Genomic DNA, 21,796 nt, shown 5'->3' with positions numbered 1-21,796 from the left:
GTTCAATAAAGCCCTCACCACTTTTCTTATTCTTGCACCAGGCCTGCTTTACTTATGTATGTTATTAGCGTGGCTCCTGTAGGTATTTGTGCCTGTAGTGCCTTCTTTAAATAGCATAAAAAGTAGTTCATTATTTTCAAGCTGAAAATCTAACCTAGATGAAGTTTAGTAATTTAATGGTAACTTACTTTTGTTTAGGTTTCATACTTTAATTTTGGCTCTTACTTGCTGATATTGCTCATTACATACAGAAAAGGAATTTAGTTAATTATCTAAAAAGTAAAATTCAAGGAATTCTTTACCTCATTGGAAGTCTGTATATACTCTTTAGCCACGTATAATATACATTGAAAAGACTGGCACAGTACACTGGCACAGCCGCAATATACTGGTGGTGAAATTATGAGTGATTTTTATTTCCTCCTTTTGCTTATGTATTTTCTAATGCAGGCTTCATACTGAACTGTAGAAATCAAGAAATAAAAAGTTGAAAAGTATTGTCTAAATAGGCAGCCTTGCAGATCTCCTAAGATCCTGTCATGCTGCTCTGATCTTAGCATTCTCATTTTAAAGTAGTAAATCAGCTATCTTCTACACATAGCATGAATTTTGGCTACTCTTTTGTGTTTTGTTTTGTTTTTGAGACAGTCTTGCTTTGTTGTCCAGACTGGAGTACAGGGTTATGAACATGGCTCACTGCAACCTTGACCTTTGGGCTTGAAAGATCCTCCTGCCTCAGCCTCCCGAGTAGCTGAGACCACAGGTGTGCATCACCACGCTCGGCTAATTTTTTTTTTTAAGTTTTTGTAGAGGTAAGGTCTTACCATGTTTCCCAGTGTAGTCTTGAACTTCTGGGCTCAGGCGGTGCTCTCGCCTCGGTCTCCCAAAGTGCTGGGATTACAGGCATGAGCCAGTGCGCCTGGCCTACTTTTTCTTTTGGTGAGTGTAAGCTTTTCTATGGGCAAAGTTGAAAGTGATTACATATCTCTTAACAAGAGGATCTAGTTTTTAAGTTCAAGATTACACACACACTCTGAGGCTATATGTGTCAGATGTTAAACTGAACAAATAGCTAGGAGTTTTTGTTTTTTAAACCAAGGATTGCGTTGAGATAAGCAAGTAAATAACAAATATCTTGAAGTTTCCTGGATTGTCATTTTAAGTGTTGACTGCAGATGGTTATGAAGAACCTTCCTGGGAAGAAAGTTATGTTAGCTAGCATATAAGGTTACTGAATTGGCTTTCTATTTACTATTCAGGTAACATAGATGTATATTGTATATAATAAATAATACGTGTGGAAATAGAAACTGCTTTTTTTTTTGTGTGTGGAAATAGGGTTTAAGATTCTCTACTGTGACACATGCCTTTTTCAATTTGGTTTTTAAGTCTCTTTTCAAAGATATTTAAAAGCATCAGCAGTCACTGTTTCTGTAGTGAGTCCCCATTCTGTACTTAGAACTGCAGGACTTTACATTTTGGTTTCTTTTTCCTCTTCTTCATATCTTTGACTTGGTGATTTGCTAAAGTGCGAAGCCTGTGCTTGAGAAGTAGGAGTGCTCCCAGCTGGAGCCATAGCATGTGGTTTATTGAACTAAGCATTTTAGGAGCCCAGAAGATAGGTATGTTAATTACTGGTGTTACTACTTGCAGTTTTCTTTTTGAGCGTGTTATCTAACCTTCAACTCTCAACTTTCGGTGTAGAGAGGTATTTCATGTGGTTTAGGTGGTACACTGATAAGGGATTCTGTAACTCAGAATCACACAGTGAGAATGTAATTTCTTTTTCAGTTTTCTTTGAATCCTAAGGATTACATAAATACAAAGGTCATATTCTAGAGCCTAGTGTGTAACACTTTTCAGTATCAAGAGCAAGACGGTGACCCTGGGAAGCAGCTCTAGGGGGATTGGGGAAGTGAGGCAGGGAAGGTAAGGAAGCCAGTAAGGTAAAGTCACCACTGTAGGCAGCTGGAGCTTAGTACCAGTGGGGAGCTCTGGGAGTCAGTATAGCACAGGGGCCTTAGAGTCGCCTCACCCAAAAGGAGAGGGAGCTACTGGTGGTAATGACACTGAATCCTCAGTAGTCATTGGTTGAAGGCTGCTTTGGGGTTAATTCTCCCACAATTTCTTACCTGCTCCTCCCGCAAGCAGAGCAAGCTCTGGCAGCTGGACAGAACATTGAGAGAAGTAGTCGTAGGGTGTGGATGGGGTAAATGGGTGGGGCACCAACAGTATCTGCTATGCCCGCTGGACAGCTAAGCTTTTCGTGCAGTCTTCCTCATTTTAGTAAACGACAACCCCATCCTTCGGTGCTGAAGCCAAAAACTTTGGAGCCACTCGACCTTTCTTTCACATCTCACATCTAATCTATCAGCAAATCTTGTTGACTCTGTTTTTAAAATATCTTCAAAATCTGATCTCTCCTTATTGTCCTCAGTGCCACCATCTGGCCCAACCCCATATCAGCTCACAGCCTCCAAACTTAGTTTACCCTCAGCACAGCTGCTGGAATGATCCATATAAAACCTAAGCCAGATCATGTCACTCCTCTGCTCAAAACCCTCCAGAGAGGCTTCCACCTTAGAGTAAAAGTCAAAGTCTTTACAATGGCCCATAAGGACCTACATGTCTGGCCTCTTCCTACTGTTATGTTTGCGCACGTGCATGTACGGTTCTTTTTGTCTTTAGCTTTACATTAGTCAAAACACTCCTTTATTCCCCATTCCATTCAGTGTGGGTTATGTGATTCATTTGTAATTCGGTTCATTTTTTGTGTTTTGCATTTCATCTTTACCACTACAGCCTTGTTGATTTTTTAAATTTACATAGTAATTTGATGTACAGTTCTTTTGGTCTTGACAAATGCGTGAAGTGGTGTATCCCCCACCATAGTTTCATGCAAAACAGTTAATTGCCATAAAAATTCCTCCATGCTACTGCTTTATAGATAATCCTTCTCCCCACCTTCCAGCCCCTGTCGACCACTGATCTGTTTTCCTCCCTATAGTTTTGCCTTTATTAGTATCATGTAAATGGGACTCTTAGAATATGTAGCCCTTTGGGTCTGGCTTCTTTCACTTAGCAAAATGGATTTAAGATTATGCCATGTTGTTTTGTGAACATTCCTCAGTAGTTCATTCCTCAGATGTCCTGTAAAATAAAATTAAATAACAGAAGTGGATTGATTTAAAGAAAGTATTGAACAAAAATGATATAGATGGTACATAGAAAAAAATCTTGAACCTGGATGACTAAGGTGTGGAAATCGATAATGTGATAAAAAGATACTGGGAAGGCTTTGCTTTACCTGGTATCTCTGACAGTAATGAGCCTTGAGTTCTTGAGGAAGTCACTTAACCACTCTGCTTCCTAGTCTGGTAAAATAAACAGTGAAATACCTGGTCTCGTTGTTGTTACTCCTGAGGTAACTGTGATTCATGACACAGAATATAGGCAGGTTCTTCTGGTAGCTCTTTTTTTAATATTAACATTTCAGTGCCGTGAAGCAACTGTTACCTGGATTTCAAAGCTGTTAGGATCCACTGTACAAATGCTTTGTGGAAACCTGTAGTGTGGGAGTAAGAGCCTGTCTGTAGGAATGAAGTAAGCCTCAGCGCAGGGTCCCAGTTCACTGACTTCTTTTCTGTTGGGCTTATCCAGTTTAAGATAGTAGCAGCCTGAGTTGGAGCTGTAGTAATGATGAAGAGGTGCTGGTGTTGTTGTAAATCTCGGCAAGTTTTACAGCAACCTCTTTGTGATTGCAGCATTTGGACCTTAATCCTCATAGTCCTGTCCTTAGGCACATTTCCTCGAGGATGTCTACAAAGATTGATTGTTGGTGTTCACGATTTCTCCAAATTTTCCTGTGGTTCATTGATAGGCCATTTTGTCACATAATTGGCAGTGTGTATTTGAGGGTCAGAGCATGTTTGAGACTGCTCCACTAATGACAGAAGCTTACAGGAAACCCAGAAGGAAGCCAGTGATGATTGCTTGTTTGGTTGTTATTTTTAAAGATGGACAGGTTCATACTAACTTCTCTTAAATCCATGATTAATGGCTGCTTAACATCCTTGACCAGGTTGCCTTTTTTGTTTTTAATTGAAATAGGATAGTTAGGTGATAGAGTGTCAGTGTAAAATCAGAAGAGTAAGTGAGAGGAATTTGAGAGTGCAAAATGGCTGTGATTTGTGTTTGCTCCACATGTGGCACGTAGTAATATTTATTTTACTTTTTACTTTTAGTAATGAATGTTATAACTATTGAAGATTATAAGAGCACATACTGGCCAAAATTGGATGGTGCCATAGATCAACTTTTAACTCAGAGTCCTGGTGACTATATCCCCATATCCTATGAACAGATATACAGGTAAGTTAAGATTTAATTTGCTTGGGTTTGAAAGGGTATACTAAGGTTCAAGGCACTTGAATTATGCCTCACACAAACATGTAATGTAGAATGCATAAGATGAGGCTCTGTAAGTGTTTTATGTATTCCACACTTACGGATTGGAGGGTTTGGTTTATACTTTTTGATTCAAAAGTGGTTTTCAGATCATGACAGAGGAAGCCTGCCACCTCCACCATACATAATGCAGACACTGTGGAAGTCAGCAATAAAAGCAAGAATGACTGAAGTATCTGGTGTAAAAATCATATTTTTAGTCTCAGAGGGAGACCTTAATCTGTTGGTGTTTATTGACACACAATTCTAACTCTCTTTGGTTATTTTGTTTCTCAGCTCCTGTTAATGGAAGCAGCAAATTAGGAAGTGGGGTGGGATATGAGATCAGCACAGTGAAAGGAGGAAGTGACAAGTATGTTGTTCCACACAGCTGATGTACAAAGAGGTTGTATTGCAAACACTTCCGTGAGTTAGAAACCTCTCTCTACTGATTATCAACCACTCTCTCTTCCTTATTTTGACATTCATTTAAAAAGAGAGAGAGAACCTGGTTTATAAATAGTTATCATATTCAGACCTTAGATTCTCACCTACTATTAGATTCTCTAGTACTGATTAAATGTGTAATACACTACTTAGAAGGGCATATTTATAGCAGATGGTACTATCTTTTCCATCCGAACACCGATGGGGGAGGATAAAGTTTTTATTTAAAAGTTGTGATTGGTTACTTTTTGAAGGTATGAATTATTGGATCAGTGGTTATATATCAAAAGTGTGCTTTAACCTTGGACTGAGTTAAGTGCTTTATGATTAACTTGGTTTGTGGGGGTTTTTGTTTGTTTTACAGTTGTGTGTATAAATGTGTATGCCAGCAGCACTCGGAACAGATGTATAGTGATCTGATTAAAAAGATAACTAATCACTTAGAGAGAGTCTCAAAGGAGCTGCAGGTAAAGAACTGATTGTATTGATTTTTGCTTCCTTGGGTTTTCCTGACTGGTTGCAGTTAGCTTTTCTAATACACATTTGGAAGCTTGTTAATTTGATTATGATATAAATTTATAAATGTTTTCTAGGTGAATGTTGATCAAATCATGTAATTTTTGGAATAGATTGTTAATTTGAAAATTTGGTATAAATTGTGGAAATTTTTGGATTAAATATATTTCAGACCTTAACTGATTCTATTGATTATCATGTCAACATTTCTTTTATTTAAAACTTTATTTTTTTCTGTCAATGTCAATATTTGGTGACTTTTATGATACAAAAATATGTGCATATTTTAACTTGTTTTGGAACTCGTATTATCATCTTTGAAGAGTGGTTTGCCTACTGATTTATAATACCTTTCAATATAAACAACTGAAGTAAACACTTTATTGATAAACCTCCTGTAAATAGGCATCATCTCAGCTCTAAAATCTGGGGCAGGTTGCAGAAAAACTCCTGTTTAAGGGAGCACTTAGCTTGATCCTCCCCCTGCCCACTTCAGTAAACCTTCAGTGCTTGAAGATCAGGTATTATTAAGTTGGTGCAAAAGGAATTGTGGTTTTTGCCTTTGAAAATAATGACAGAAACCTCTGTTACTTTTGCACCAACCAAATAATCTTTATACCAGGGCTTGATCCCACTTTGCTTTTGGTATAGAAGTAGAAGAATGTCTAGAAAAATCACTCAGCAATCCCAGCACTTTGAGAGGCCGAGACAGGTAGATCACGAAGTCAGGAGATCGAGACCATCCTGGCCAACATGGTGAAACCCCGTCTCTACTAAAATTGCACACTCCTGTAGTCCCAGCTACTCAGGAGACTGAGGCAGGGAAATCGCTTGAACCCGGGAGGCGGAGGTTGCAGTTGGCCGAGATTGCGTCGCTGCACTCCAGCCTGGCGACAGAGCAAGACTCCGTCTCAAAAAAAAAAAAAAAGAAAAGTCACTCAGCAATAGATTACCAGGGTCTATACCACAATTAGGAAGCACCCCAGCAGTTTTGAAATAACCACAGTTTATAGCACATGCTGGGGTGTGCTTTGGGCTTGGATATTGTTCTTCACAACTTGTGGTCTGAGATAGCTTAGTTTTTTTGTGTTTTTTTTCCCCAAACAGTTGTTGCACTAAGTAGCATTTTGTTTTCTGTTTCAAATGATAGAGCTGTGTTTTGTCATAGTCAGATATATACTTTTCTTGTTGTTAGTATAAATTTCTTTCTTCATCTTTTTGCCGCTAACTATAAAATCTTTATTCATTTAACACATATGTTTAGTGCTTAGGCATTGTGTATAAATTGTTGATGAAACCCTAGATCTATGCTTTATAGCTTTTGAGTGATTTGCTTTCTAATTCTTCACTCCACCATCTACCTGAATTTCTACCTGAATCCAGTTTATGGACTTCGGGTCTCGCTGTGGACTCTGTCACACACTTCTGTTCATTTGCCAGTACCCTAGTCAGGTTCATCATCATTTCTCGACTGTTTTACTGAAATGCTTATCTCAACTGCCTTACTTCATTGATACACCTTAATTTAACCAGTTTTTGATTGATGAATATTTAGGTTACTTCCAGTCTTTGGCCATTACTAACAGTGCTGAAGTGAATAGTCAGTCTTGTAAGTAATGTCGTTTACTAAGTCTAAATTGTGGTTCACAGAAGTTGTATCAAGTTGCATTCCCATCAGTTCTGTATATATCACAGTGTCTGTTTTCCCTCACCCTACTAATACAGCCTATTATGAAACCAAATAATTTTTAGTTTTATATTAATATAGTAATGATTCTTATTAATGATTAAAACATAAATCAGAGTGATATTTCTTCTGATGTTAGTGTTTTTTTTTTTTTTAATTTTTTTGAGATGGGGGTCTCGCTCTGTCTCCCAGGCTGGAGTGCAGTGGTACAATCATGGCTTACTGCAGCTTTGACCTCCCTGGGCTCAGGCGATCCTCCCACCCCAGCCTCCCCAGTTGCTGGCACTACAGGTGCATGCCACCATGCCTGGCAAATTTTTTATGTTTTTTGCTTTAGAGATGGGGTTTTGCCGTGTTGCTCATGCTGGTCTCAAACTCCTGGACTCAAGCGATCTGCCAGCCTCGGCCTCCCAAAGTACTAGGATTACAGGTGTGAACCACTGTGCCCAGCGTGATGTTAGTATTTTTTAAAAGGGTGATATATGATATAAAACCAGGGAATTTAGTTTGTTTTTAGAATCAATACATGTCCCACTTAGAGTTCAGCAATATGGTCTTATGAAAAGTCTAGCTTCAAAATGATTCCTTTTATAAGATTATAACGATTGTAACCATTATTAAATAGCAGCGGGGAGTGGTTTAAAACATGGGGATCCAGGGCTCTGTTTCCAGCTCTGTCACTCAGCATTTGTGTGTTTGCCTCTTTATTAAACGTGCTAATATATATCATCTTATAAATTTTCTTGACATTAAAATGAAGTAGATTTACTAGACTATCTCGTTGCTTCACACTAAGGTGTAAGGTATTTTCTCGACATCAAAAGGAAGTAGATTTACTAAAATATCTGTAGTTCTTTACACTAAGGTGTAAGGTATTTTTTCTTCTGCTTCCTGCCTGGCAAATGCTTCTTCATTCTTTTCTTAGGCTTAAGCTCATTTGTGTCCATCTGTGTAAAGCCTTCCTGGAACTCCTGCACTCCTCTCAAAACCGAACAGACTATTGGCATTTCTTCTGTGGATCCATAGCATCTCAGCAATAAGAAGTCTATTAGGGCAGTGATTGTGTTATTGTTTCTGCTTCCCTGTCTGACTACTTCACAGGCCCTTCCTTGAGGGGGAGGGACTCTATCGTGTTTGTCTTTTTATCCTTAGTGTCTGCCACAATTACAACTCAGCAGATGTGTTCTGGCTGAATGCTGAGTAACTAAATGTGACCTGTACTAATGGAAAGAGTAGCATAATTAGCTTCAGATGACCACTACTCCTGTGCTCTCTAGATTTGTAAGCATTTTATTTATTTGTTCAGTGTGATGTGTGTGGCCTGATGTAATCTTTATTTTATAGAGACCTTAAGGCAGTTTTCATGGGGACAGATCAAGAGACGGTGCCAGGCTTTATGAGCCAGAAACATTTTATTTGGATGGAGCATTTTGTTTGCAGCTCTGGTTTTCATAATGAAATATTGTTGTTATGAGCCAAAATAAGAGCGTGGGAGGAGTTGCATTTGGCAGATAATCAGAAATTTAGTGCTGGAGTTGATAAATCAATGATTTGGACCTACAGGGCGTCAGCCTCAGTCAAGGGCATCTTAAAATAGCTGTGGGTTTGTATAGTTTATATGTCAGAGGGACTTATTTATTTTTATCCCAAGGCATATCCTGTTGGGGAGATTGAAGAGTATATAAAATAATGTTCCCATATTCTCCAGTTATTTTTGGTGTTGACGTAAAAACTAGAGAACATGGTTTTTAGAGATTTTAGAATAATTTGTTGAATGTAAATATTTTTTACATGACAGCATAATCTAACTTGCTGCCTCTTTTTTGTTTTTAAACACATTTCTTTCATTTTGGAAAAAATTACTTTACTTCAGGCACTTTAAAGTTTTTTTTGTTGTGTTGTTAAACTAATAAAACAAATAGCTAAGTCCCCTTAGTGTTCTCCTTACTATTATATTTCACTGCATGTGTATCTATACATTTTAACTTACTGCTGGATTGTTCAAAATTGTGAACAGTATCTTTTGCCTTAATTTTTTTAAACCAGGCTCTTTTCTCGTCCTTATTAACTCCGCTCTTCTTATTTATTTATGAGACAGTGTCTCAGTCTGTTACCTAGACTAGAGTGCAGTGGTGTGATGCTGGCTCACTGCAGCCTTGACCTCCTGGGCTCAAATGATCCTCCGGCCTCAGCACCCCAAGTAGCTGGGACTACAGGTGTGCACCACCATGCCTAGCTAATTTTTGTATTTCTTGTAGAGGTGGGGTTTTACCATGTTGCCCAGGCTGGTGTTGAACTTCTGGACTCAAGTGATCTTCCTGCCTTGGCCTCCCAAAGTGCTGGTATTACAGACATGGGACACCACTCCCGGCTGTTCTTTCTTTAAAAGTAATAACGAAGTTCTATTTATTTTTATTTTTCTGTATCTCCAGAGCCTCAAAATGTACATTTCCAATTCTGGTATTTTCCTATACCAGTGAATGGAAATAGATGACTATAGAGAGTAAATTGGTTTACCAATTCAGTAAATAATATTCTGAATAGTTTTGGAAAATTCTATGGAAACATTTAGAAATTACCATATTTTTTGTGAGAGACCAGGACCCTAACATTAGGACCTACACTTGCCTGTTGGATTTGAATTTCATCTTATAGATACCTCATACTGAGGTCTAAATCTAAATTTCTCTTCATTCAAATTAGTTTCTTTCTGAGGCTTGGTATTTCATATTCCTCTTAGCTTTTTCTCTCCTATTTCTGGGTGCTAGTTAAGGTGGATGGAATACTATAATATATCTTGCTCTGTCCTCTTTGATTCCCATTGTTGTCTTCCTCTTCCACGTCATCATTGGCTCATGCCTGCACTAGTGGAATATTCTTTTAATTGGTTTGTCTTCCTGCAGTCTCTTCTTTTGGCTGAACAACCTAAAAACCCTAATTTGATAGACATACTTTCTTGTTCAAAAATCTAAAATACTATTTATTGCTTTCCTTAATTAATCACAGCTGATTTTTTGGTCCGTGTAAAAAAAACTTGAGTGGTTTTATTGGTTGCAGGGGTTCCTAGTGGGAACCCTAACGTATCCTATTTAACTATGACTCTACTGGGTCTGGTAGTGGACATATAATTGATAAGACTAGATAGTGTGGACCACCCCCCCTGCTGAGAGCAATTACAAAAATCAGACCACAGGACTAACAAAGTGAATTATAGGGCCAGGATCTAAGAGAAGAAGGAAACTCAGATAGAGGAACCTAACATTTGAGCCATTTATCTACTGGGGTCACCTATTTATTCTGGAAAAGGAGGCTAATGAGCTGAGAAATTTAATAGAGCTTTGACAACACTTGTGGGGGTTGGGTAATAAATTGGAGTATAAGGCTCATTAAATCTGAAGTACCACATCCCAGGACTAGCAAGAATAAAAAAATAAAGACTAGCCTTCTCATTTGCTAAAGCCTGATTCCTGATTGGATTAAGATGGTCTTGATTCGGCCAGGTGTGGTGGCTCATGCCTGTAATCCCAGCACTTTGGGAGGACAAGGAGGGCAGATCACAAGGTCAGGAGTTAAAGACCAGCCTGGCCAAGATGGTGAAACCCTGTCTCTACTACAAATACAAAAAAATTACCTGGGTGTGGTGGTGGGCGCCTATAATCTCAGCTGCTCAGGAGGCTGAGACAGAGAATTGCTTGAACCCGGGAGGCGGAAGTTGCAGTGGTGCCACTGTACTCCAGCCTGAGCGACAGAGCGAGATTCCGTCTCCCAAAAAGAAAAAAAAATGGTGGTCTTGATTTGCTAGAGCCTCGATTAAGCTTACTAGTAACAAAAGTAAATTCTGGAGAGATACCATTATCCTAGGCATCAGATTGTTTCCATAGTTTTTCATAAGCAGTATCTGGCACTTAATCAGAAATAACTAGTCATAGTAGGAAATGAGGCATCAAACCAGGCAAAATTGTGAAGTACATTTTTAGGCAAGAATTGGGAGAATTCATCACCAGTAGTTTCTTACACAAATAAAAGTGTTTTTCAGATAGAAAGAAAATGTTTCCAGATGAAAACTTGAAGATATGTAGGAATGAAGAAGGGAAAATATGCAAGTGTGGATCAATAATAATGATAATGTCTTCTAGGATATAAGAATATATATATATAATCAAAACTCGTGACAATAATGTGTAAGTTTGAAGGGAGGAGTGAAGGTTTGAAATGTTCTGAAGCCTTGCATTGTCCAGGAAATGGTAAAGCACTACTTTATTTTCAACTATAATGTGACAAGGATACAGTCTGTAGTAAAAAAACATAGTTAACAAGACATAGAGGGGAAAAAATGGAATAATTTTAAAATAAAGAAATCAAGAAAGGATTTTTTAAAAGTACAGAGAACAGATGAGATAAATAGAAAATAGGATAACTTCAGCATGTCTATTATTATGTGAAATGTTAAAGACTAAGCACTACATTAAAAAAAGGAAGACAATTTCAGATTGGTACTGTTCCTTGTGGATCAGGGCTACCCCATGGGCACTGTGTCTAGAGTAGCAGCTCAGAGGCAGTTCTGCACTCATACCTACTTTTAATTATATGCAAATTAAGGGCAGTATGCAGAAATTTCTAGAACGAGGGAGAGGGTGGTAACTTCTGGGTTGTTGGGTTGTTGCCATGGAAAGGGGCAGTAACTTCTGGGTGTTGCCATGGCAATGGTCAACTGACATGGCACACTGGTGGGCATGTCTTATGGGGAGGTGCTTCTGCCCTGACCTGTTTTTAGCTAGTCCTCCGTTTGGTCCTGATGTCCAAGCCCCACCTTTGGAGTAGATTTCTTCCTCCTATTACTAAGTTGAGAACTTTCACCTTTTCATTTAAAGGAATCATTTACAGCTTCTCTTTGGCATATCTGAATTGCCAACATCATCTCTCTTGCTCTTTGGAGCCATTATTAAGTAAAGTAAGGGTTGTTTGAACATTTGCTATGATAATCGTGACAGTTGAACTGATAACCGAGATGGCTAAGTGTCTGACAGATGGATAGTGTCAACAGTGTGCATATGCTGGACAAAGTGCTGGACAAAGTGCTGACAGATATCTCAGGCAGGATGGAGCTGGATGGTGTTATGGTTTCGTCACGTTACTCAGAAAGGCATGCAGTTTAAAATTTAAGAATTGTGGCTGGGTGCGGTGGCTCACACCTGTAATCCCAGCACTTTGGGAGGCTGAGGCGGGCAAGATCACCTGAGGTCGGGAGATCGAGACCAGCCTGACCAACATGGAGAAACCCCATCTCTACTAAAAAAAAAATACAAAATTAGCCGGGCATGGTGGCACATGCCTGTAGTCCCAGCTACTTAGGAGGCTGAGGCAGGAGAATCACTTGAACCTGGGAGGCGGAGGTTGCAGTGAGCCGAGATCGCACCATTGCACTCTAGCCTGGGTGACAAGAGCGAAACTCCGTCTCAAGAAAAAAAAAAAAAAAAAGTTTGTTTCTGGAGTTTTCTGTTTAATATTTTCAGACTGTGGTAACTTAAATCTCAGAAAGGGAAACTGGATAAGGTGGGGGACTACTATCATGGATAGATGGATATAAAATCTTTTAAAACTGTCTTAAATGACACTTCCTCATTTCATTTTTTCTATGTGTATTTCTGAATCCAGAATCCATTGAAACAATTGTGAGGCATTTTCTCCCCAAGTAATGTTGATACATTTATTGTATATGCTAATGTGTTATCTAAAAGAGAGTATATTTTCACCAAATAAAAATATTCTGACATTTTGATGTAGTAGTTTTATAGTCAGTGACCCATTAACAGTTCTTTTGTCAGTGCTTTGGAACTCACACTGTACGTTAGCCCCAGTAAACAGTGTTGACACAGAGATTTGGTTCCTAGGTCAGGACAGTAACATTCAAGTGGGAAGATTAGCGCCGATATTACTAACCTGCATTCAGGGTCCTGTTGAGGAGAGACCACAGAGACAAAGGTGCTGGGAAATGTTGCAATTTTTATCTCAAATAAGGCTGAATTTACAGTAGTTTTAAGTATTTCACTTTTAATTAAAAGGAAGTTAACTGATTACATTTAAACCATTTTAATAAAATTAGAGTGATGTTGATGTCTAACTGTATCTTGGTTTTAAGCAAAATAAGTAAGTTGACTGTCAAATTAATAATGGAAATTAATAGAAACTAAACCATAATCAGCCAACAGTACTTAACTTTGATTCACTATTTATAAACTCCAATTTGCATATAAAATCTTTACTGCCAGATTGCCAATAAACTGAGCTAGTCCCTTGGTAGTTAAAATCAGAGCAAGGATTGCGTTGCTATTTATTTTTTGTCCAGTGGGTGGCAGCATAACTCAACTGGTTATCTTGTGTACGGTCATTTGAAATTTTTTATGTGTTTTAAAGGTTTTAATTTCTAAATCTCTTGTACTACAAAGTGTATTCTAAGAAAACTTTCCTCCAAATACTCTGTTTATTTCTTGCTAAAGTGAATAAGATTTTAGATAATAAGAAAATTGCTTGATATCCTTTCTTCATAGGTTTCAAATAAAATAAATATTGCAACTGGTAAATAGCCCTTTACATGTGTGTTCTACTGAAAATGTTTCTAAGTTATGTGGAGATCTATTTTTTTCCTCTCTACTAGAACTTAAAGCAGTTGTCATGGCAAACCCAGGAATTTGCCAGGGAGACACCCTAACCCTCGATCATTCAATAGGCTCTCATTCAGACCATGATTCTAATAAGTTTACTATCTTCCTTTGAAAGAAAGGATTTTGTTTGTATTTTCATGTGCCTTCATAGGACTTAACATAATACCAGGCCCAAAAATAGAGATCCAGTAAAAAGTACTTGGTATAAGTTGATTACAAAAACATATGCTGGCTTTACCACTGACATTACCAGAGGCATGTGTTTGTTCCAGGTAAAACATCATCCAGAACTTGGAAAATGAGCAGGAGAGTAAAATCACATAAATAATAGCTGTTTGCATTTGTACAGAGTACATTTGCATGGTGTACAGAGTACAATTATGAATTGTATTCTTTTTAAGATATACTTTCTTTGAGACCAAACTGTGTAATTTAAGTTAGAAAAGAAAAGGAAAAAGGTTTCCTTTCCAAAATAATAGCAAATAGGTGTAAGTAGTGTAAGTAAGTTACTGTTTGCTAAGTGTTACATAGAGATAAAGTATGTGGGGAAGTGAGAAGTCAGCCTAGGGTATCTGGCTTCTTTGGATATTTCTCCATTTAGTAATCCTTGAACCTTTTATAGCACCTAGCCAGTTACTTTAAAAGCTAGTATTAGATTACAGATTATTTCATGTAGATAAGCTAAATGAACCCAGGAACACAGAAGCCAGGTTTAATTCAGTTTATTAAGTCCAAATAGTATTTGGAAAATTAAGGAAGTCTTATTTTAGAAATAAATCAAGAAAAAAATTTCATATAATAATAGCTTAAGAAGTAAAAGATCTAAGTGAAAAGAGAAATATCTTCTATCTAAGACTCAATTGACTTTATTGTAGTTTTCAATTGAAAACCATGCTTACAGTTTATATGAGAAGTGTCTAATATGTATATTATAGCTCTTAAATAGCTCCTGAAGATCAGTTACCTTCTATATCACTATTTTTTGGATATTATTCTAATATGGAAATAATATCTGCATAGCAAGAATGAGAATGGAATGTCAGATATGTTTGTCTATTTGGAAAGAAATTCCTTTTTTTTTTTTTGAGACGGAATTTAGCTCTTGTTGCCCAGGCTGGAGTGCAATGGTGCCATCTCGGCTCACCGCAACCTCCGCCTCCAGGATTCAAGCGATTCTCCTGCCTTGGCCCCCTGAGTAGCTGGGATTACAGGCATGTGCCACCACACCCGGCTAATTTTATATTTTTAGTAGAGACGGGATTTCTCCACGTTGGTCAGGCTGGTCTTGAACTCCTGACCTCAGGTAATCTGCCCGCCTTGGCTTCCCAAAGTGCTGGGATTACAGGTGTGAGCCACCGCATCCGGCCAAGAAATTCCATTTTTATGAAGCGTCTTTGTCAGCTTCCAGTGTGTAATGGGTGTTGCTTCTAGGGCCATGACACATCTGTCCATGGCAGTATGGTATTGCTCTGGAACATCATGGAATAAGCTAGACTGAAAGCTTATTACCCATTAGTAGTTTTTGCTATAGTCAGTCATCTAAAGGCAGATTTTTAGAAAAAGAAATGACCAATTTGATTGAGAAAATAGTATTAAGGATCCTTGAGATGGCATCCAGGTGCATTTGTATGGGATACAAAAATGCCAACGTTGTACTTATTATAGGAATAAATGTTAAAGGACTTGGAATAAACTATTTGAGAATTTTTAACATTTCCATTTGACTCTTTTAAAAATAGTTTCCATTTTTCTGCTGAAATTCTCCCATCTTTTTGTGCATGTTATCTGCCTTTTCTACTAGGTCATTGCATATATTAATCATAGTTATTTAAAGTGTCTGTGATAGCTACTTCATGTGGGACATCTCTGTGCATGTTGAATGTTTAATTGTTGACATAATTCTTGACAGTGGGCTGTGTTTTTGTTTTTTTGGTCTTAGTTTTTTATTGAATGTTGGACATTGTATATAAAAAGAACAGTTTAGCTTAAAAAGAACAGTTTCTGCTTAGAAATGGGCATGCCTTGGCCGGGCGCGGTGGCTCACGCCTGTAATCCCAGCACTTTGGGAGGCCGAGGCAGGTGGATCACGAAGTCAGGAGGTCGAGACCATCCTGGCTAACACGGTGAAAACCCGTCTCTACTAAAAATACAAAAAATTAGCCGGGCGTGGTGGCGGGCGCCTATAGGCCCAGGTACTTGGGGCTGAGGCAGGAGAAAGTCGTGAACCCGGGAGGTGGAGCTTGCAGTGAGCCGAGATTGCGCCACTGCACTCCAGCCTGGGCAACAGAGCGAGACTCCCTCTCAAAGAAATAAGAATAATAAATAAAATAAAAGTAAATATCTTCACGGGCCGTGAGGTGTTTGTCTAGCTCCTGTGCTTAACTCTGCTGGTGCAGGTGAAAGCAGCCACACAGATTACATAAACAATGGGCATTGCTGTGTTTCAAAACAACTGTACTTAATCAAAACAGGGTGTAGACAAGATTTGGCCCACAGCCTCTAGTTTGTTGATCTCTGGTTTGGTGTGCAGGTGAGTTCCCTCCCCGACTCTCCCCTTCCCTGTCCTGCCCCCCACACACCCTGTGGCAACCAAATTTTACCTTGTATCTTTGGGGAACCTTGGGAGTAAGCAAGTTTCCTGTGCTTCCATCAGCAGCAGTATATTTTTGCTTCATAACAGTGTGGAAACCTGGGCATGAGTGGATTTTCTACCATCCTGAAAATGGTTGCTGACCTTTGCTTGTCAGGAGGGCTGGAGGATCACCTGCCTGTCTTCCAGTGGTAGACAGTTTTTGCCTAAGGTCAAAGAAGGGTCACCAGGTTGCAGGGTTTCTTACCCCTTCCTTTCAGCAAATGGCTTTTGCTTTGAATCTGGGTAGGTTCTAGGGCACAGGCAGTTTTTGTTCATGTCTTCCATTGGCAGTTAATCACCACCTTTTTTTGTCATGGAGGACCCCATGATGTGTTCATCGGCTTCTTTAGGTATTCCTGCTTCATCCTCAGGTCTTACTAAGCCCGGCACATCTTGCTATGGAGGATGGCCTCTCAGATTTCTTTCACTGCCCCCAGTCCTTCTCTTGATGACCCAGTGGAAACCCATGGAAAAGAGTTGGAGAGGAGGTGCTGGTGCTGACTGCCCTTGTGTTGAAGCCTCCCAGGGATTCTACACTGTTAGTTCACACTTGGCCTTTAATGATTCATTACAATTTCTGTTGTTTGCTTATCTGCTTTTATGACTACCATCACCAACAGAGAAATAGTCCATGTGTCCTTTATTTTTTTTTAGAGGAGCTTGTCACTCTGAAATTCTTCTCACCTAGTTGAACATTGCAGATGTAAGTTAAAGAAACCTTAGGTGTCTGATGAGCTCGAAAAATTATGATTATTTTGGTTAACCAGCTTTTTCTTACCATAAGAGTGGGAGTGATGTTCTTTCACAGCTTTCTGCATTCTAAGCTGAGGGGGAACTTGAGTTATATTTTGATAACTTTATACTCCCTGAATTTGATACTAGTCAAGAAGCCATTAACTTTTAAGAGGAAAAATTCACCTATGTTAATGTTAAAATGTTAGTGCATCATATTTTTACTGATTTCAGTGCAGTTTGCAGCTAAATTGTCCTGCAGTAAATGCCTGTGTTACATGGGTGATTACTGCTCAGTTTTCTCTTGAATCCTGCAGACTTCCTTCCTGTAGAGCTCCTCTCATTTCTTGGAAGAGGCTTAAGGTGTAGGGTTCCTAAATGCTTAACAGGTGGGCCAGCTGTTTACAGACTTCCCTGAAGTTCTCACTAAAAATACACACCTCTGGAAAGTTTCTGAATCAAGACTTTGGAGTGTGGCAAAGGAATCTGCGTCATTACCAGTCCCTTCAGGTGATTCGGAGAGAAGCATTCTTTGAGGTCCACTGGCGTATGGAAATGTACCATTGTTCCTGAACCTAGTCTCTCTTAAGCAGGGAGTGCAGTGTAGCTTATGTTTAAGAATAAGATAGTGCGCTGGGCTCGTTGGCTCACGTCTGTAATCCCAGCACTTTGGGAGGCCGAGGCGGGTGGATCATGAAGTCAGGAGATCGAGACCACCCTGGCTAACACGGTGAAACCGTGTCTCTAGTAAAAATACAAAAAATTAGGCAGGCGTGGTGGCGGGTGCCTGTAGTCCCAGTTACTCAGGAGGCTGAGGCAGGAGAATGGCGTGAACCTGGGAAGTGGAGCTTGCAGTGAGCCGAGATCGCGCCACTGCACTCCAGCCTGGGTGACAGAGTGAGACTCTGTCTCAAAAAAAAAAAAAAAGAGGTTGTGTTGTTGCTGATGCCACTCAACACATTTGCACAGCTGGAATGCTAGTCTGAATTAGAAGTATCCGTGCAGACCTGGATAACATAAACAGCAAAGCATAGCCTAAGTATCCAGTGACAAGGGACTGATGAAATAGGCAATGATGTGTCCAAACAGTTGTTAAAATTAGGTTATAGAAAGAAATTTGACCTGGGAGAGATGGTGACGATCTATAGTTGGGCGATAAAATCAGGTTACAAAATAAGCCATATTTGTTTAGAAACAGACACATGCACACAGGAAAAAAAAAAAAAATACCAAAATGGTAATAATTTTCTACGAATGTTGGTAGTGGTTATTTTTTTCTTTTTCTTTTTCTTTTTTTTTTTGAGACGGAGTCTTGCTCTGTCGCCCAGGCTGGAGTGCAGTGGCGCAATCTTGGCTTACTGCAAGCTCCACCTCCCAGGTTCATGCCATTCTCCTGCCTCAGCCTCCGGAGTAGCTGGGACTACAGGCGCGTGCCACCACGCCCGGCTAATTTTTAGTATTTTTAGTAGAGACGGGGTTTCACCGTGTTAGGATGGTCTCGACCTCCTGACCTCGTGATCCGCCTGCCTTGGCCTCCCAAAGTGCTGGGATTACAGGTGTGAGCCACCGCGCCCAGCCGGTAGTGGTTATTTTTCCATAGTTGCATTTTAAATTTTTAAAAATTTCAATGAACGTACATTACTTTTACAAAGATACATGTTTTGTCATGTTTAGTAGGTCCTTCTCTTCCATCCCTTCTTGTCTACTTCATTCTAGCATGCAAAAGTCACTTACTTATTTGAAGACAACCAGAATGCTTTTGTGAAGATAAAAGCACATATTCTTAATTTTTTTCATGTTTCATTTCGGTTGGCTGGGGACGAGGATGGGGGTAGGTAGAGGAGGAGGGATATAAATATGAAATTGTAGAACTCGTTTGTATTTTACATCTGCATTGTCCAGTTAGTTATGTGTAACTATTACAATTAAAATGAAGTAAATATTTGGTTCCTTAGTTTAATTAATCATATTCCAAGGCTCAATAGCCAAACGTGGCCAGTGGTTACCATAGTGGACAGTGCAGATTTAGAACATTCCCATCACCACAGAAAGTTCCTTTGGGCAGTACTGACCCACATGATAGTATATTTAAGTCTCTTGACTAGTAAAATTATTTAAACAAATAATCCTCTTCTAAAATTATTAATATACATCAAATTCGGGTGACTGACCAATCAACCTTCCTTGTTTAGCTTTGAAAGTTAAAGATGACAAGCTTTCTTTCCCCTTCCCTTCTGTGAAGGTGTGGTATGTATATCAAATCTGTCTTTTCCTTTCTTGCTGTAAGGCATTTCTCACACTAGGACCATGTATGTGTATATATATATTTTTAGTGGTATTTCGCAGATTTCACTATTTAAACTGGACAACTGAAATTATTTTTAATATAATTATGCATAAGACTATTATCTAGTTCTACCTTTTTTAATTTAAAGGTTGTTTTGAAATTATTGTCTATAACATCTATATGAAGTTACTCAGTGCAACAATCTGGTAACAAAGGATTAGCACGAAGCTATCAATATGACCTCTGATTAAATAAATAGTACATTCAAGCATCTTACAGAAATAGATATTCCTAAAGTGTGTGTGTTTTGAGGACTTCGGAGGGTCCCCAAAAGCCTTTCAGGGGGGTCTGTAAGTAATGATGGATAGACGCTGGTGCCTTAGCATGAATTTTCATTTCCACATGCTTGCGGGGTGAGGAAGCCATTTTCATTAAGAATGTCCCAGATGAAACAGAGAAAATTATTAATTTTATTAAATTGTGACTTTATACTTTAAAAAATATTTTATGTAAAGAAATGGGACACCGCATACCAGAGTACAGTGGTGGTTTTGAGAAAAGGTGCTTATGTGATTGTATGAATTTTGAACTAACCCTGCTTTTCTGCATAGAACGGTATTTTCACTTGAAAAAAAGACTGACAAACTACGGTTAGACTTTGGTATTTGACAGACATTTTCTCAGAAATTAGTGAACTAAGATTGTCACTTCCAGGAAAATGACTGACAGTATTTGTTGCCAATAATGAAACTTGTGCTTTGAAGTGAAAATTAAAATTTTGGAAAATTTATATCTACCACTGTGACCTTGATAGCTTCCCAATACTTAAAAAGATTTCTGATGAGATAGGTGTTAATACTGTCTCATCAGAGATGTATTTTTTTGATACCGTCTAATGAAATCAACATTGGGAAGATCTACATAACTCAGAGAATCAGTATTTTCCAAATGACCAATGTGTGATGTAATAAAATGTATACAGAAAAGATCCATTTAAAGTAGAAGATAGACCCGTGGTTTTTAATGGAATAGAGTACAAAACATTCATTGATCGTTTCAGAAAATAACACATCACAACTGATTTCATTGCAGAAGCAGATATGAGAATCCAGCTGTCTTCTATTAAGCTAGGCTCTAAAGAGACTTGCAAAAATGTAAAAACAGTGACACTCCTCTTACTAAATTTTGTTTTGGTAAATAGTTATTTTTTATAAAAATAAGATGGTGATGAGTTTGTTATTGTCATTTTAGAATGAATTAATAAGTATTTTTAGAACTTAGTTTTAATTTTTATTATGGTAAATACTTACAGATACAACCTGCATATAAACAAAAAGCTTTTTGGAATCTTGAGTTGTTGTTAGAAATGTAAAGGTTTCCAGAGACCAAAAGTTAGCGAGAACCACTGGAATAAAACTGACTACAAGATATACATTGTTAGGGAAAGTTGCAGGTATGTGTGATTATACCTTAGCATTTGTGTATAAAGAACTATAAATGGGACATTTATTTTCTAGTATAGGCATAAAGTTCTTCTGGAAGGATATAAAAAGTATTGGTTGGTTCAGGGAGGAAGGAATGAAAGGAAAACTTACTCTAAACCCATTTGAACTCATTTGAATTTTAAACCAGATGAATACATTACTCATTATTTAAAAAATATTCTCACACAGTTATATTACAAAATTCAGGGAATCCAGATCTGTTAAGAAAAATTGGAGCAAGTTTGGAGTAATGGTGATGGCAGTGGCGGCCCATCTGGAGTGGCCACTGCCATCACGCTGCTGTAGCAGGGAGGCGTCAACAGGTGGGGCTGCATGCTCCATGGAGCCGGCAAGAGCCTCTTCTGAGTTGGGGTGGGAGCACACTGGGTGCTGCTGCAGCCACCCAATCCACAGCTGTGGACTCAGGCATCCCTGCATTCTTGGGGGCCCAGGAAGGACCCCCTGCCCTCGAAGGCTCAGAAGTGTCTGTTACTACTGCCTGGCTTCTCCAAGTTGTCGGCACTGACTCTGATCTTGGAGCAAAGTTGGGGGCGAGCCCAGGTGCTGTCGCAGCCTGGCCAGCTGTGCACACGCTGAGGGCAGTGCTAACACACTAGCCCTCTGCTGCCTCGGCCCCCTCCGGACTTTGGGCACTGACAAGCACAGAAAGGAAGCCAAGGGGTGCTGAGGGCAGCTTGGCGCTGGCCTGCAGGCGCCCCTTGGCACCTACAGCCTGGGCGCCATGAATGGCAGCAGGAGGCAGACAGGTTCCTGGGTGGAAGAGGGCAGGTCCCCAGTGAGGCCTCCACCTTCAAGCTAAGGAGGGCCTGAAGGCTGGGAGCCAGGCTGCCAGTCCTACAGACTGGAGTGGGAACTTGTGGTGCCTTTTCCAGCTTGCCTGTG

The 21,796-nt window shown here is 39.2% G+C and overlaps 1 protein-coding gene across 1 annotated transcript in view; it reads left to right on the top strand.

Annotated features, from left to right (window-relative positions):
* CACUL1 (CDK2 associated cullin domain 1) overlaps window positions 1–21,796 on the top strand; it is a 78,560-nt gene that overhangs the window by 20,316 nt on the left and 36,448 nt on the right. The window contains exons 2-3 of the mRNA NM_153810.5: window positions 4,245–4,371; window positions 5,258–5,360. Of these exons, the coding sequence (NP_722517.3) occupies window positions 4,245–4,371; window positions 5,258–5,360 (230 nt within the window). The remainder of the gene's footprint in view (window positions 1–4,244; window positions 4,372–5,257; window positions 5,361–21,796) is intronic.

The sequence above is a fragment of the Homo sapiens genome, chromosome 10, assembly GCF_000001405.40.
Source record: "Homo sapiens chromosome 10, GRCh38.p14 Primary Assembly".
Classification (NCBI taxonomy): Eukaryota; Metazoa; Chordata; class Mammalia; order Primates; family Hominidae; genus Homo; species Homo sapiens.
The sequence above is the reverse complement of the archived record's forward strand: the minus strand, read 5'-3'. Positions and strand labels throughout refer to the sequence as shown.